The sequence below is a fragment of the Homo sapiens genome, chromosome 4 (genome assembly GCF_000001405.40).
Source record: "Homo sapiens chromosome 4, GRCh38.p14 Primary Assembly".
In the NCBI taxonomy this organism is placed as follows: domain Eukaryota; kingdom Metazoa; phylum Chordata; class Mammalia; order Primates; family Hominidae; genus Homo; species Homo sapiens.
Genome location: NC_000004.12, coordinates 88,369,549 through 88,386,632, shown reverse-complemented (window position 1 = coordinate 88,386,632; position 17,084 = coordinate 88,369,549). Strand labels below are relative to the sequence as shown.

General features: G+C 39.2%; 1 protein-coding gene across 5 annotated transcripts in view, besides 3 other annotated features; it reads right to left on the bottom strand.

Annotated features, from left to right (window-relative positions):
* The window catches only part of HERC6 (HECT and RLD domain containing E3 ubiquitin protein ligase family member 6), a 64,246-nt gene extending 56,465 nt beyond the window's left edge, over positions 1 to 7,781 (bottom strand). For 3 of the 5 annotated variants that reach the window (XM_005263083.5, XM_011532053.4, XM_047415867.1), the window contains exons 1-3: positions 7,513 to 7,781; positions 3,253 to 3,448; positions 1,058 to 1,134 (exon numbers count right to left, since the gene is read on the bottom strand). In XM_005263083.5, coding sequence (XP_005263140.1) covers positions 1,058 to 1,134; positions 3,253 to 3,448; positions 7,513 to 7,711 — 472 coding nt within the window. In that variant the 5' untranslated portion in view covers positions 7,712 to 7,781. The remainder of the gene's footprint in view (positions 1 to 1,057; positions 1,135 to 3,252; positions 3,449 to 7,512) is intronic. The other 2 variants (NM_017912.4, NM_001165136.2) reach the window with 1 other exon arrangement.
* Positions 3,653 to 3,952: an enhancer, noted in NCBI's record as "active region_21714". NCBI's record gives its function as "activates an Ori minimal core promoter by ATAC-STARR-seq in GM12878 lymphoblastoid cells {active_cell/tissue: GM12878}" and the evidence as "EXISTENCE:reporter gene assay evidence [ECO:0000049][PMID:35858748]".
* Positions 7,029 to 7,358: an enhancer, noted in NCBI's record as "active region_21713". NCBI's record gives its function as "activates an Ori minimal core promoter by ATAC-STARR-seq in GM12878 lymphoblastoid cells {active_cell/tissue: GM12878}" and the evidence as "EXISTENCE:reporter gene assay evidence [ECO:0000049][PMID:35858748]".
* Positions 7,369 to 7,558: a silencer, noted in NCBI's record as "silent region_15563". NCBI's record gives its function as "represses an Ori minimal core promoter by ATAC-STARR-seq in GM12878 lymphoblastoid cells {active_cell/tissue: GM12878}" and the evidence as "EXISTENCE:reporter gene assay evidence [ECO:0000049][PMID:35858748]".
* Positions 7,782 to 17,084: the final 9,303 nt, after the last annotated feature.

Genomic DNA, 17,084 nt, shown 5'->3' with positions numbered 1-17,084 from the left:
TATCCCTTGAAGCCCAAACTCCCTTTTTTTGTTAAAACAGTATGTAAGTTCCTGAGTCTAACCACTACTTTTAGTTTCACTTATTTTCTGTGAACTCTTGTGCACAAAAATATTAATATAAATTGGGGACCGGGCACAGTGGCTCACGCCTGTAACCCTAGCACTTTGGGAGACCAAGGCAGGTGGATCACTTGAGGTCAGGAGTTCGAGACCAGCCTGGCCAACATAGTGAAACCTCGTCTATACTAAAAATACAAAAATTAGCCGGGCATGGTGGCGCACACCTGTGATCCCAGCTACTTGGGAGGCTGAGGCAGGAGAATCGCCTGAACCCAGGAGGTGGAGGTTGCAGTGAGCTGAGATCGTGCCACCACACTCCAGCCTGGGTGACAGAACAAGACTCCATCTCAAAAAAGAAAAAAAAAAAAAAAAAGAAAAGAAAAAAGATAAATTGGGTGCCTTTTCTCTTTTAATCTGTCTTCTGTTAATTTAATTTGCAGGTTCCCAAAGACTACGCATAAGAGGGTAGAGGAAAAATTTTTCCTCCTTCAGACTCTCCATTGAGAAATTTGGATTGAGGGTGGACAAAGGAGGGTGGAGGTTGGTAGAAAAAGTGTAGATGTACAATTGTTATGTGTCAATAAAAATAAATAAGTAAAAATTTTTAAAAAGAAAAAATATAGAGTCATGATTTTGACACCTTGACTTCTCTTTCTTTGATCTAAGTGAAATAGACAAATAAGTCTGCCAGTGTGGACAGGCCATTCAGCATAAAGAGCAAAGGGCTGGAAATAAAGCCACTACTAAGCTCTGAGAGAGTTGGCCAGTTAGGTCAAATAACCAGAGACAGCCCCTTATGGCACTATGAATTAGGCACTGTTTAGAGTATAATTAGGACCAAGAAATTTGAGAAAAAAATAGGAAAACAATATATCTTATGAAACCTGGGGAATGAAAAACTTCTAAATGAACCCCAGTGCATTAAAAATCAGCAGCTATAATTCCTATTCAAAAAATTACTTCCTACTCACACTCAGATCCAAAAAGTGTTTCTTACCTTTTGATAATGCCAGGGAGTGGTAGTGTCCACAGGAAACTTGTATTATTTTTATATCATTCAGAGTCATTATTTTCCTATAATACAAATAATACAAAATTGATTAATCCTTATTTAGAGCGAGTTGTCCGGTGGACTACAGATATTTAAAAGTATCTCAAATAATACATCTGGTCCAGGAAAACTATTTTATTTTCTTGTATTTCTATAGTACCTTTATTTCAAAGCCCTCAAACTGTTTTTAACATGACATTAACATGTACCAAGTTATAGGACAGAATCCAAAACAGTATATAAATGCAAAAGCCATTGCTATTGGACTTTAATGCAATATCTAATATACTAATTTTATTCTACACTTAATAGCCTAAAAGAGAAATAAATTTTTTCTGCATATATAGTATAGGGCCTTAGAATTTATAGAACACCAACAACTTCATCATCTAATTTAAGCCCTAATTTAATGAAGAAATCATTAGGTTAAATCATACAAAATTGCCATTTTTGTGGATCAAAACCAGATAACTATCAGCAATTTCCTTTTTTTTTTTCACAGACGGAGTCTTGCTCTGTCACCCAGGCTGGAGGGCAGTGGTGCGATCTTGGCTCACTATAACCTCCTCCTCCCGGGTTCAAGTAATTCTACTGCCTCAGCCTCCCAAGTAGCTGGGATTACAGGCATGCACCACAACGTCCGGCTATTTTTTTTTGTATTTTTAGTATAGACGAGGTTTCACCATGTTGGCCAGGCTGGTCTCGAAATCCTGATCTCAGGTGATCCGCCCACCTTGGCCTGCCAAAGTGCTGGGATTACAGGTGTGAGCCACTGCACCTGGCCACTATGAGCAATTTCATAAGGTGAATCTAATGGAACTCAAAGAGGTCAAATAGTTATGATGCTGTAGAACCAGACTCAAATTCTGGTCTTTTCATTCCAAGTTCAATGCTCATTTCCCCAAGTCAAATTGATCTCTTCTAGAATTTAATGACCAGAAGAGGTAACAAGAGGTGATTTCCTAATATTAAAAAGCATGCGTTTGAAAATCCCCTAAGTATGTAATTCATAAACACATAATCCAGAGCCAACTACTTGTCATATCTGTCCTGGGAAGTTGTTTGTGAGGAAATGTGATATTTCCCTCCACTTTACTAAGTAAAATGTTAGGGCCCAGTGGTTTATGACAAGCCAAAAGGTTGTGTTGAGAAAAAAACTTCTCTTCCACCTTTGGTCCAATATTTGGGGGCTTGCAAATTAACTGACAATAGATTAACAAGAGAAAAGACAAAGGTTATTTACAAGCATGCTCGCTATTGCAGAATATCCCAAAGTAAAGTTTTATATATGTCACCTTAATAAAAGGCGGGGTTTTGGGACTTCAGTGGGAAAGTATAGAAGGTTCTATTGGGCTTTTTGATGGTAATAGTAATGGGTGGTCTATCTTAATGACAACTGAATTCCCAGGAAACTCTCACTCAAGGAAGTTACTGGGAACTGCATTTTCAGGAGGCTCTGTTTTAGTATGATAAAGGAAGTTCAGGTAAGATTTATATCTGTATCTTTTGCAGCTCAAATGTTTCTACTTTACAGTGGTCTTTATACCCACTCTGGAGGTCTAAGTTGGCCCCCACAGTTATATTCCAAGAGATAAGATTAAGATCAAAGGGTCACATCTCATTTCACTCTGCTCTAATTAAATAATAATTGGTGTTGTAGGTTTTTTCCTCCCTTCTTCCCTCACTACACTGTAGTCCTTCAGGTTAGGAACTGTGTTTGTCATAGTCTTTTTTTTTTTTTTTTTTTTTTTTTTTTTTGAGACTGAGTCTCCCTCTGTTGCCCAGGCTGGAGTGCAGTGGCGCTGTCCCAGCACCACTGCAACCTCTGCCTCCCAGGTTCAAGCGATTCTCCCGCTTCAGCCTCCTGAGTAGTTGGGATTGCGGGTGCCTGACACCATGCCCGGCTAATTTTCTTGTGTCTTTTTTGTAGAGAGGGGCTTTCGCCATGTTGACCAGGCTGGTCTCAAATTCCTGACCTCAAGTGATCTGCCCACCTTAGCCTTCCAAAGTGTTGGGATTACAGACATGAACCACTGCAGCTGGCCTGTCATAGTCGTCTTTGTATCCTGGCATCTTGCACAGTGCCTGGCACATGGTACTATATATATTGAATAAATGAAGGAGTGGGTTGAAACACTTACTTAGGTGTGAAACTTATTTCCTTGAATTCTCCAATCCCCAGCTGCCCTTCAGAACCAGCTCCCCATGCGAAGACCCTTCCTTTGTGGCACACAGCCAGGGAGTGCTCCTTCCCGCAGCTCACGAGATCAACAATTAGGGTTTCCAATGCCTGAATTGGTTCTTTGGGAAACAAAACAAAACACCCCCCAACCACCACTGCAGATTATTAATTTAACACAAGTTTAAGACAGCACTTTTCTTCAAAAAGAAGGATCATCCAGATTTCTTGTCTCCTCCAATGGTCTTTTGAATCAAGACCTTAAGTCCATTCTAAATGTCTGAAGGAAGTAAATTCAATGTATGTTACCCTGTCTTTATAGGATACAGCTCTGTTAAAATAATCAACAGGGAGACTATCAGGTTGAGATGGCTCCAGCACCTTGGGTTCCTACCTAAGCAAACCAAAACCCAACTCAGAGTGATTGATCATAGCCTAGGAAAATGAAACTTAAGGTTAACCAATCAGAAACCACCAACTAACATCTAACTAGAGACTTTACCAACCAGAAACTGCTGACTACTTCAAACAAGGGACTTTCCACTTTAACCAATCAAGTATTTTCTTTGTCTTGCTTCCTGGAACACGTTATCAAAGGTTCCCCCTGGCATCTCCTTGCACCTCCCTTAGTGGAGCCCAACTGCTTGAGGTCTGGTGCTGCTCAATTCATGAACTGCTGAATGTTCAAATTGACTCTTAAAAACATTCAATTACCCAAGTCTATCTTTTAATGGCTGTTATTTAAAGGAGTAGGCATCACGGAGGGGGTAACTTCTAGGGACTATGACACATGACCAAATGTTTCTCTAGCAAAACCTAGCAAAATAAAGAGACCCAGAAAAAAGTTGGGATCTCCTCCATTTTGCTATTCTGTCTTCCCACCCTAAACACTGAAAGCAGTGAATCCCTTGCTCAGAAGGAAATTGGAAGGGAGCCTACCTCATGAGTGTGAGAGGCAGATGCTGGATCCTCTTACAATGAAAAGTGAAAAATATGCCCCTATGGAGGCCCTAAATATGCCCACAAATGAAAACCGGATCACATTTCCCTACAAGCCAACCTAAACTGCTTTCCCAAGGTGTCTGTCTCTGAATTATTAGAGGTTTGGAGTTGAGAACATCATACCAGTAAAGTTTTTGCAACATTTAAGATTTTGTTTTTCCTTTTATCTTTGTAATCTTATCTTTTTCAACTATTTACTGTCAATTTATGCAAGGTTAAAATTTCCCAAAGATTCATGCACTCACAAAGATAGAAATTGGTACCATTTTTCTAGAGAACAATTTGGGGTTAAGTATCATGTTGCCCTTCATTTCCAAATGAGGGTGATAAGACCTGAAAACATGCTACTTTAAGAATTTGAGCTGAAGGCAATTGAGAATCAACAGATGCAGGAAGAGGTCTCTGCTCTCTTCTTATCTACCTAAAAGTAGGTCATAAATATCCTTTTGTGAGAAGCTCCCATCTCTGGCACCAAGAAAAGGGTCAGCCGGGCGCAGTGGCTCATAACTGTAATCCCAGCACTTTGGGAGGCCGAGGCGGGTGGATCACGAGGTCAGGAGTTTGAGACCAGCCTGACCAACATAGTGAAACCCCGTCTCTACTAAAAATATAAAAATTAGCTGGGCATGGTGGTGAGTGCCTGTAATCCCTGCTACTTGGGAGGCTGAGGCAGAAGAACCGTTTGAACTGGGGAGGCGGAGGTTGCAGTGAGCCGAGATAGTGCCATTGCACTACAGCCTGGTGACAGGGCAAAACCCCATCTCAAAAAAAAAAAAAAAAAAAAAAGAAGAGAAGGGTCACCTAAGATGAAGACTTGGCACTGAGGTGAGCCTGCATAAACAAGTCAATTAAAATAACCCTTATCTTCCATTAGATTTTCCCATATATTTTCTAGTCACTTTCCCTGAGTTCATCATCCTTTAAAGTCCAAACCCCCTTTTCTTTGTTAAACATGGTACACAAGCTCCTAAGTCGAAGCACTTGAGTTTCACTTCTATTCTGTAAATTCCCACGCATGTAAATTCCCCTATATGTAAAAGATTAATAAAATTGTATGCTTTTTCTCCTGTCAATCTGTCTTTTGTCAGTTAAGTTTGCAGGACCCAGCCGCTGAACCTAAGAGGGTAGAGGAAAAATTTTCCTCCTCCACACACCTTTTGAAACTATTCTCAGCAGGTCATCAAAAATGTAGTCAAATATTTGCTTACGAGAATATCAATCAGTATTATTTATAAAAGCCCCTAGTGGGAAACAATCTAATTTCCACAAAAAGAGAATAATTATGGTACTCTCAGAGTTTAGAATGTTATGCAGCAATTTAAAACATATTTTCAAAACATACAAAATGAAAGGGTAATATGTTCATAAGATTATGCTTGATGAAAACACAATGTACAGAGTTGCATAAATACTGCATATACAAATCTATAATGACATGATTTTTATAAAGATTAAATATGTACATAGAAAAAAGTAGACAAGGAGAAAATGCATCAAAATGTTAGGAGTTATCTTTGGGTGTTGGAGCTACGGTGATTGCTTTCTCGTATTTCTACAATAATCCATAACGATTATTGTATTATCTCACATATATAATATATATATTTATTATTATTATGTTTTTTGAGACAGAGTCTTGCTCTGTTGCCAGGCTGGAGTGCAGTGTCGCGATTTCGGCTCACTGCAACCTCTGCCTCCCGGGTTCAAGCGATTCCCCTGCCTCAGCCTCCCAAGTAGCTGGGACTACAGGCGCCCGCCACCACGCCCAGTTTATTTTTTGTATTTTAGTAGAGATGGGGTTTCATCATATTGGCCAGGGTGGTCTCGATTTCCTGACCTCGTGCTCCGCCCGCCTCGGCCTCCCAAAGTGCTGGGATCACAGGCGTAAGCCACCGCGTCCGGCCTATTATGTGTATATATATATATTTATATATTATATATATATATTTATATATTATATATATATATTTATATATTATATATATATTTATATTATATATATATTTATATATTATATATATATTTATATATTATATATATATTTATATATTATATATTTATATATTATATATATTTATATATTATATATTTATATATTATATATATTTATATATTATATATTTATATATTATATATATATTTATATTATATATATATTTATATATTATATATATATTTATATATTATATATATTTATATATTATATATATTTATATATTATATATATTTATATATTATATATATATTTATATATTATATATATTTATATATTATATATATTTATATATTATATATATATTTATATATTATATATATTTATATATTATATATATTTATATATTATATATATATTTATATATTATATATATTTATATATTATATATATTTATATATTATATATATATTTATATATTATATATATTTATATATTATATATATTTATATATTATATATATATTTATATATTATATATATTTATATGCTATATATATATTTATATATTATATATATTTATATGTTATATATATATTTATATATTATATATATTTATATGTTATATATATATTTATATATTATATATATTTATATGTTATATATTTATATATTTATATATTATATATATTTATATATTATATATTTATATATTATATATTTGTATATATTTATATATTATATATATTTATATATTTTATATATATATTTTTATATATATATATTTTTTAATGCCCCAGTGTATTTCTAAGGGAGATACAGGTGTCTGACCCACAAACCACGTTTGTAAGGTCAGGCTGCCTTCTCCAGGTAGAACCGCGCAGGCGAGGATTTATCTGCAAGGCAAGCCGGAGGGACCACATCTCTTTCCAGAGCAGCGCTGACCAGGTTAGTTTCGGCTCTCAGTTTCGCTTTGAACTTGAATTGGAAACCGAAACAAATCCGAGGGGCGTTGGGAAAACGAAACTGAGGAAGTTGCTCTTCGGTAGCACAGGGCACCATTTTCCTGGTTCCTGTGGCTCTTCGGGCCCCGAGGAATCCAAGGCTCCCAGCACCCCTCCCTGCCTGGCCCGCGGCGCCCAGCATCTGAGCCGCTCCCTGCACCTGGGCCCCCGCGCCCCTCACCCGGGTCCCAGCGCTCCGCACCCGGTTCCCTGCGCCCGGTACCCAAGCCCCCGCGCCCATGTACTGGGGTCCTCACACCCTGCACCTGGGGCCCCCCGCTCACCTGGCAGCTCCCCGCGCTGCGCGCCCCTGCGGCCCAGCTGACCCCTGCTGTTGTCTCCGCACGAGAGGACCCTGTGGTTGGTCAGCAGCAGCAGAGAGTGGCGCTCCCCGCTGGCCGCCTGCAGTAGCTCAGCCCCGGGGCTGCCCGCCGTCCTCCGGCGCTGCAGCTCCCTGGAGTCGGCGCCCCAACAGAAGTACATCCCGCTTCTGCGCCCTGTCGCCTGCTCCGGATTCCGTCGGTCCCGCTGCGACAGGCTCCCGAACGCTGGTGACTGGGTGCGCGATGATTTCCTGAATATCAAGAGACTCACCCTGTCTTCAACCCGCCCCAGGGGCGCAGCCCTGGCCCCATGTCAACTCTCGCTGCCTGAACTTCAAGTGCTGAAGAGCAGAGAGGGCGTCCCAGGGAATAAAACTGAGTTTACATCCTAAGCCATTTATGAGTCGTGAATGCCACTTTGGGCAAGTTACCTAATGATTCCGTGCTTCAGCTATCATATCTACGAAATATGGACTGCAATTCAGCAAATCTAATATGTCGGGATAATTTAATAGGCACATAAAGTGTTAGAATAATACCTAGAGTGGTTAATAAAGCATCTGAGTGCCCACCTCATTCCAGACCTTTTTTGGCATTGAAAATATGTTTGTTTTTTGTTTGTTTGTTTGTTTGTTTGTTTGAGATGGAGTGTCGCTCTGCTGCTCAGGCTGGAGTGCAGTGGCACCATCTCGGCTCACTGCAACCTCCACCTCACGGGTTCAAGCTGATTCTCTTGCCTCGGCCTCCCGAGTAGGTGGGATTACAGGCATGCGCCACGACGCCCGACTTAATTTTTGTATTTTTAGTAAAGATGGGGTTTCACCATGTTGGCCAGGCTGGTCTCGAACTCCTGACCTCAAGTGATCCACCCCTCAGCTTTCCAAAGTGCAGGGATTACAGGCGTGAGCCTCTGGGCCCCGCCTGAAAATACAATTAGTGAAAGACAAGATCCTCTTGATGCGTTTACATTCTCCTGAGGGAAAGAGAACATAAACAGATAAACACATAGTGTAATATCAAGGGGCAACGAAAAATACAACAGGAACCAGAGGGTGGAGGCGGAAGGCACTGGTATTTGAGATGATATTAGGGAAGATCTCTCTGATGAAGTGATATTTGTGCAGAGAGCTGAGGGGACATGGGAAATGAGGGAATGAGTCGTGATCACACCTGAGGGCAGAGGATGAAAAGAAGCAGTTGGAAGGTTTTGAATAGAGAAGAGCCATGATCTGACTTCAGTTTTTAAAGATTCATCTGGCTGCTGTGTGAAAAATAATAGGACAAAAATGGAAGCAGAAAGCCAGTTAGCAGAGACTACTTCAGAGTTCAGGTCAGGTGATATCCTAGAAGGGAAGAGAGGAGAAGTTATTAGATTCAAGACATGTTTTGAAAGTAAGAGTCCACAGATTTGATGATGGATTAGAAATTGGGGGGAAAGAAGAAAAGGGATTAGGGATTACTCCAGGGTTGGCTTTAGGGGTTACTCCAAGGTAAACTCTACTGGACTGGGAAACCCTGAGGAAGGTGCAGGTTTAAGCTATGTGTGTCTGGAATACAGATTGGTAATGATAACTGTAAGATGCTTGTTAATCAAGAAGGCAATAGGATAAACTGTTTTGGAGTTGTAGAGAGAAGCTTGGGTGTAGTCAGAAAATTGGGAGCCATCAGTGTAGAGGTGATGCTTAAAGCCAGATGGCTGAATGAGAACACCCAGGGGGTGAATGTGGTGACAGTATAGCAGAGGCTAGAGGACTGATCATAGGAGGAAAACCAGGAGGAGGAGTTATAGACAGAGCAAGTAACGAATAAAGGAAGGATCAACTCTGTCAATTTCTTGTGGAGCAAGGTAAGGATTGAGCACTGATTTTTATTTATTTATTTGTTTGTTTGTTTGAGATAGAGTTTCCGCTCTTGATGCCCAGGCTGGAGTGCAATGGCGTGATCTCAACTCACAGCAACCTCCGCCTCCCAGGTTCAAGCAATCCTCCCGCCTTAGCCTCCCAAGTAGCGGGACTACAGGCACGTGCCACTACGCCCAGCTAACTTTTGTATTTTTTGAAGAGATGGGGTTTCATCATGTTGCCCAGGCTGGTCTTGAACTCCTGACCTCAGATGATCTGCCTACCTCAGCCTTCCAAAGTGCTGTGATTATAGGCCACCATGTCCCGCTGAGCACTGGTTTTTAGATTTGGTAACTTTGATAATGTTAGCCATCATCAGCATTATTGATTTTTTTTTAAAAGAAACTATTACAGAACCTATTTATGTAATTTCAATTCACCACTCTTCATGACCATGTTTCAAGTTCTTTAAAGAGAAGAACAAATGTTCTTTATTTTTCTACCTCAAGAGTACCTGGAACTTGGTAGATGCTAATAAGGGTATGTCGGACAATTGGATTGATGAGTAGTGAGTCAGTGGATAGTATTAGTATTTCTGGTTCTGTTTTGCTGTATACCAAATATAACCTTTTTCTGAATAGTAATTTCTTAATGTTTATTTCTTTTCTCAAGCACAAAATGTAGGAGTTTGGTATTATTACCATAAGATACTGAGCCCTCAAATTAAGTTATTTCTTTAAAAAAAAATTTTTTTTTGAGACAGAGTCTCGCTTTGCCACCCAGGCTGGAGTGTAGTGGCACGATCTCAGCTCACTGCAACCTCCACCTCCCCGATTCAAGCGATTCTCCTGCCTCAGCCTCCTGAACAGCTCAGATTACAGGCGGGCACTATCACACCTGGCTAATTTTTGTATTTTTCGTAGAGATAGGGTTTCACCATGTTGGCCAGGCTGATCTCGAACTTCTAACCTCAAGTGATCCGCCTGCCTCAGCCTCCCAAAGTGCTGGGATTACAGGCGTGAGCCACCACTCTTGGCCTAAAAAATCTTTTATTGATACATAATAGATGCACATGTTTTGGGGGTACATATGATAATTTGACACATTATCAAATTGGGATATCTATCGCCTTAAATAATTTATCTTGGGCTAGGCACAGTGGCTCATGCCTATAATCCTAGCACTTTAGGAGGCCGAGATGGGAGGATCGCTTGAGCTCAGGAGTTGGAGACCAGCCTGGGCAACATGGTGAAACCCCATCTTTACAAAAAATAGCTGGGTGCAGTGGCACATACCTGTAGTCCCAGCTACGTGGGAGGCTGAGGTGGGAGGATTGCTTGAGCCCGGAGCCTGGGAGGTGGAAGGTGCAGTGAGCCCAGATCGTGCCACTGCACTCCAGCCTGGGCGACAGAGCCAGACCCTATCTCAAAAAAAAAAAAAAAAAAAAAAGGAACATTCAAATTATTATTGGCTAGTGGTTTTGAAATGTACCTATAGTCATTCTACTGAGCTATTGAACCAGGTCTTATTTCTTCTATCCAACTGTATATTTGTACCCATTAATCAACCTCTCTTCATTTTCCTCACCCCTACCCCTACTCTTCCTGGACTCTGGTTACCAACAATGTACTCCTTATCTTCATGAGATTCACTTTTTTTTTTTTTACTCTCTGACATATGAGTGAAAACACGTGATAATTGTCTTTCTGTGCTTGGCTTATTTCATTAACATAATGACCATTCCACCCATGTTGCTGCAGAAATGACAGAATTCCATTCTTTTTTTATGGCTGAACAATATTTCATTATGTATATGTACCACATTTTCTTTATCCATTCATCTATTGATGGGCACTTAGCCTGATTCCAAATTTGGGCTATTGTGAATAGTACTGCAGTAAATGTGGGAGTGCAGATGTCTCTTTGATATATTGATTTCCTTTCTTTTGTATATACACAGAGTAGTGAAATTGCTGAATCATATGGTATTTCTATTTTTAGTTTTTTGAGGAACCTCCATACTGTTCTCCATAGTGGCTGTACTAATTTACATTCCCACCAACAATGTATGAAATGTACATCAACAGTGTACGTTTCTTTACATCCTCACCTGCATTCCTTATTCCCTATCTTTTGGTAAAAGCCATTCTAGCTGTGGTGAGATGATATCTCATGGTTTTGATTTGCATTTCTATGAAGATTAGTGATGTTGAGCATTTTTTCTTATACTTGTTGGCCATTTGTATGTCTGCTTTTGAGAAATGTCCATTCAGATCATTTGCCCTTTTAAAATCAGATTTTTTTTTTTGCTGTTCAGTTATCTGAGCTTCTTATAATAATATGGTTATTAATCCCTTGTCAGACAGATAGTTTACAAATATTTTTCTCCCATTCTGTGGGTTGTCTCTTCACTTTGTTGAGTTTCCTTTGCTGTGGAGAAGCTTTTTCGCTTAATGTAATCTCACTGGTCTATTTTTGCTTTTGTTTCCTGTGTTTTTGAGATCTTCCACAAAATTTTTTGCCCAGAGCAATGTCCCAAAGCATTTCCCCAATGTTTTCTTCTAGTAGTTTCACATCTTATATTGTCTTTAATTAACTTTGATTTGATTTTTGTATATGGGTCTAGTTTCTTTCTTTCTTTTTTTTTTTTTCTGAGATGGAGTTTTGTTCTTGTCTCCCAGGCTGGAGTGCACTGGCACAATCTCTGCTCACTGCAACCTCCACCTCCCAGGTTCAAGCAATTCTCCTGCCTCAGCCTCCTGAGTAGCTGGGATTACAGGCCTCTGCCATCACGCCCGTCTAATTTTTATATTTTTAGTAGAGACAGGGTTTCGCCATGTTGGCTAGGCTGGTCTCGAACTCCTGATCTCAGGTGAACCATTCGCCTCGGCCTCCCAAAGTGCTGGGATTACAGGTGTGAGCCACCACGCCCGGCCAGGGGTCTAGTTTCATTCTTCTGCATGCAGAAGTTTTCCCAGCACCATTTATTGAAGAGACTGTCCTTTCTCCATTATATATTTTTGGCTTCTTTGTCAAAAATGAGTTGGCTCTAAGTGTGTGGATTTATGTCTGAATTCTATATTCTGTTCCATTGATCTGTGTATCTGTTTTTATACTAATATGCTGATTTGGTTACTAGCTTTGTAGTACATTTTGAAGACAGGTAGGGTGATGCCTACAGCTTTGTTCTTATGCTTATTGCTTTGGCTGTTAATGGTCTTCTATTTAAAAAAAATAATAATAACTTTTATTTCCCTGAAAAAAGTCATTGGAATTTTGATGGGAATTGCATTAAATCTATAGATTGCTTTGGATAATATAGACATTTTAACAATATTGAATCTTCGAATCCATGAGCATTAAACATCTTTCTACTTTTTGTCTTTTCTTCCTTCCTTTCCTCTCTCTCTTTCTCTGTCTCTTCCTCTCTTTCTTTCTTCTGAGTCTCACTCTGCCACCAAGGCTGGAGTGCAGTGGCACCATCTCGGCTTACCACAACCTCCACCTCCTGGGTTCAGGAGATTCTCATGCCTCAGCCTGCCGAGTAGCTGAGATTACATGCGTGTGCCATCACGCCTGGCTAACTTTTGTATTTTTACTACAGACAGGGTTTCACCATGATGGTTAGGTTGGTCTCAAACTCCTGGCCTCAAGTGATCCACCTGCCTCAGCCTCCTAAAGTGCTGGGATTATAGGTTTGAACCACCATGCCCAGCCCCTCTTCAATTTCTTTAATCAGTGTTTTATAGTTTTCTTTGTATAGATCATTTTGGTTAAATTGATTTTTAATTATTTTATATTCTTTTAGCTATTGTAAATGGAATTGCTTTCTTGAATTCTTTTTTATATTGTTTGCTGTTGGTTTATATAAATGCTACTGGTTTTGTATGTTGATTTTGTATCATGTCACTTTAATGAATTTGTTTATCAGTTGTTTTTGGTGGAGTCTTTGGGTTTCCTAAATATAATATCATGTCATCTGTGAAAAAGACGAATTTAACTTCTTTCTTTCCAATTTGGATGCTCTTTATTTCTTTCTTTTGCCTAATTGCTTTGGCCAGAACTTTCAGTATTATGTTGAATAAAAATGGTGAAAGTGGGCCGGGCGCGGTGGCTCACACCTGTAATCCCAGCAATTTGGGAGCCTGAGGTGGGTGGATCACCTGAGGTCAGGAGTTTGAGACCAGCCTGGCCAACATGGTGAAACCCTGTCTCTCCTAAAAATACAAAAATTAGCCTGGTGTGGTGGTGCATGCCTGTAATCTCAACTACTCGGGAGGCTGAGGAAGGAGAATCCCTTGAACCTGTGAAGCAGAGGTTGCATTGAGCTGAAATCATGCCACTGCACTCCATCCTGGGTGAAAGAGTAAGACCTTGACTCAAACAAACAAAAAACAAAAAAGGTGAAAATGGGCACCCTTGTCTTATTTCAGATCTTAGAGGAAAGGTTTTCCAGTTTTTCAGTTCAGTATGATATTGGCTGTGGGTTTGTCATATATGGCTTTTATTATTTTGAAATACGTTCCTTCTATACCCAGTTTTTTGATTTTTTATCATAAAGGAATGTTGAATTTTACCAAATGCTTTCTCAGCATCTATTGAAATGATCATGTGGTTTTTTTGTTCTTGCTTCTGTTAATGTGATATATCACATTTATTGATTTTTGTATGTTGAACCATCTTTGCTTCCCTGGGATGAATCCTACTTGATCACTCTCTTTAATGATCACTCTCTTTAATGAGTGAATAATCTCTTTAATGTGTTGTTGAATTTGGTTTGCTTGTATTTTGCTGAGGATTTTCGTATCTATGTTTATCAGGCATATTGGCCTGTAGTTTTTGTTGTTGTGTCCTTGTCTGGTTTTGGTATCAGGGTAATGCTGGCCTAGTAAAATGAGTTTGAAAGTATTCTCTCCTTTTTCATTTTTTTTTTTTTTAACAGAGTTTGAGTAGGATTGGTATTAGTTCTTCTTTAAGTGTTTGGTAGAATTTAGTAGTGAAGCTGTCAGGTCCTCGGCTGTTTGATGGGAGATTTTTTTAATTATGGCTTTGATCTTGTTACTTGTTACTGGTTTGTTGAAGTTTTCTATTTCTTTGTGGTTCAGTCTTGGTAGATTGCATTTGTCCAGGAACTTATTCATTTCTTCTAGGTTTTCCAATTTGTTGGCATGTAGTTTTTCATAATAGTCTCTAATGATTCTTTGTATTTCTGTGGTCTTAGCTGTTATGTTTCCTTTTTCATTTCTGATTTTATTTATTTGGGTCCTCTCCCTTTTTTTCTTAGTCTAGCTAAAGTTTTGTCAATTTTATCTTTTCGAGAAAACTTTTTGTTTTGTTGATCTTCTGTAATTTTTTTAGTCTCAATTTCGTTTATTTCTGCTCTGATTTTATTTCTGCTCTGATATTTATTGTTTCTTTTCTGCTACTAATGTTGGGTTTGGTTTGTTCTTGTTTTTCTGGTCTCTTGGGGTACATTTTTTAGCTTGTTTATTTGATGTCTTTTTAGTTTTTTGGTATAAACCTCTCTCTTAGTACTGCTTTTGCCATATCACATAGATTTTGGTATGTTGTATTTCCATTTTCGTTTGTTTTAAGAAATTTTTTAATTTCCTTCTTAATTTCTTCATTGACCCATTGGTCATACAGGAGCATGTTGTTTGTGTTGCCATGTGTTTGTGTAGTTTCTGAGGTTCTTGTTATTGATTTCTAGTTTTATTCCACTATGATCACAAAAGACACAATATAATTTTTACTTTTTAAAATTTGTTGAGTCTTGTTTTGTGGCCTAAGATATGGCTGACCTTGGAGAATGTTTCATATGCTCAGACTGTAAGAGTTTGATATTATCAATATAAGACACTGAAACCTCATATTGTTATTTCTTAAAAGAAAATCTACTGAATAACTAAAATGTAAGCGCATTGTACTCATTTTGTATTCCCAGCACCTAGCACAGTGTCTGCCAAATTTAAAAAAAAAAACTGAATAAATGTTAGTGAGATAAGTGAATAAAATGTATATTAAAGAAATTGAGCACATCTTTTTTTTTAAGAAAGATAATTTTCACTTAATCTGTGTTCATGCACTTGGAAACAGAAGGTCCGATATTTTGAGTACTTACCATGTGTTGATGATTTTATATAAAATATCTAATTCTTTCATCACCTTTCCTTAGTTAAGATTCTCCAGCCTGGCCAATATGGCAAAACCCCGTCTCTACTAAAATACAAAAATTAACCAGGTGCGTTGGAGGGCGCCTGTAATCCCAGCTACTCGACTTGCGAGGCTGAGGTATGAGAATCACTTGAACCTGGGAGGCGGAGGTTGCAGTCAGCTGAGATGGCGTCATTGCTCTACAACCTGGGTGACAGAGTGAGACTCTGTCTCAAAAAAAAAAAAAAAAGATTCTTTCGGTTGCACGTGACAGAAAATATAGCCCAAGCTCACTTAAGCAAAAGGGAAATTTACTTGTAGATTGCATTATTATTTTTCAAAAAACTTTGCTGCCCCTCTCCACCCTGTGACATCAATCTTGACCATGTGATTTGTTCTGGCCAATTATATGCAAGTGGGAAGCAAGCAACTTCAGGCAGATAGTTTAGAGCGAGCACTTCTTTTCCTACTTTTCTTTTCCTCCGTTACAACAGGTGATTTTCTAGAGAGAGACTGCTCTATTTTACTGAGTCCCAGATTAAAAACAACAATAAAGCAGCGCTGCAGGTAGCCCATGTAGCATCAGCAAGAGATAATTTTTGTTGTTGTAAGCACGTGAGCATTTAGGAGGTATTTATGATTACAGCGCAACTGTTTATTATTAAAGTCAAGTAACTGAAAAATCCACCAGAATGGCTGATTACAGGCACTACTGAAAACAAGGACTTAACCAATGTCCTTAATGACTCCATTTCTCTGTCTCTTCACTCCGCCTCTTGCTATGAGGGCTTCATCTTCAGGCTCCATGCAGTCTATCTTGCAATTCCAGGAGCTCCTCTGAGATTGCAAGAGGGTTACAGCAGCTCTAAACTTTATATATATCCAGCTCTCAGCTTCACAGCCTGTGTACAGAAAAAATCTGCTCAAAACAAAAGTCTTCACCCGATTTGGGTCATATGTCTACCCCTGAGGCAATCACTGTGGAAGCCAATGGGGTAGTCAGTCTACCTTGTGGATCAGGATGGAATCTCATCCATGCACTTTCTGAGCGGAGTAAGCAGATCCCAGATGAAAGGCATGTTGCTGGAAGAAAGCTGAGACAGATGCTAAGGAGTTAAGCAACACGACTTTCTATATCAATCATGCAAAATAAGTATTATTATTATTATTCTCATTTTTGAGGGTAAGGAATTAAGGCTCAGAGAGTTTAGGTAACTTGCTTGAAGTTACACGATGTGTATAAATGGCAGGGTTTGTTTTTTTTTTTTAGATGGAGTCTCACTCTATCACTCACCCAGGCTGGAGTGCAGTGGTGTGATCTCAGCTCACTGCAACTTCTGCCTCCCAGGTTCAAGCGATTCTTCTGCCTCAGCCTCCCAAGTAGCTGGAATTACAGGCAGGTGCCACGACGCCCAGCTAATTTTCGTATTTTTAGTAGAGACAGGGTTTCACCATGTTGGCCAGGCTGGTCTTGAACTCCTGACCTCAAGTGATCCACCTGCCTCAGCCTCCCAAAGTGTTGGGATTACAAGTGTTAGC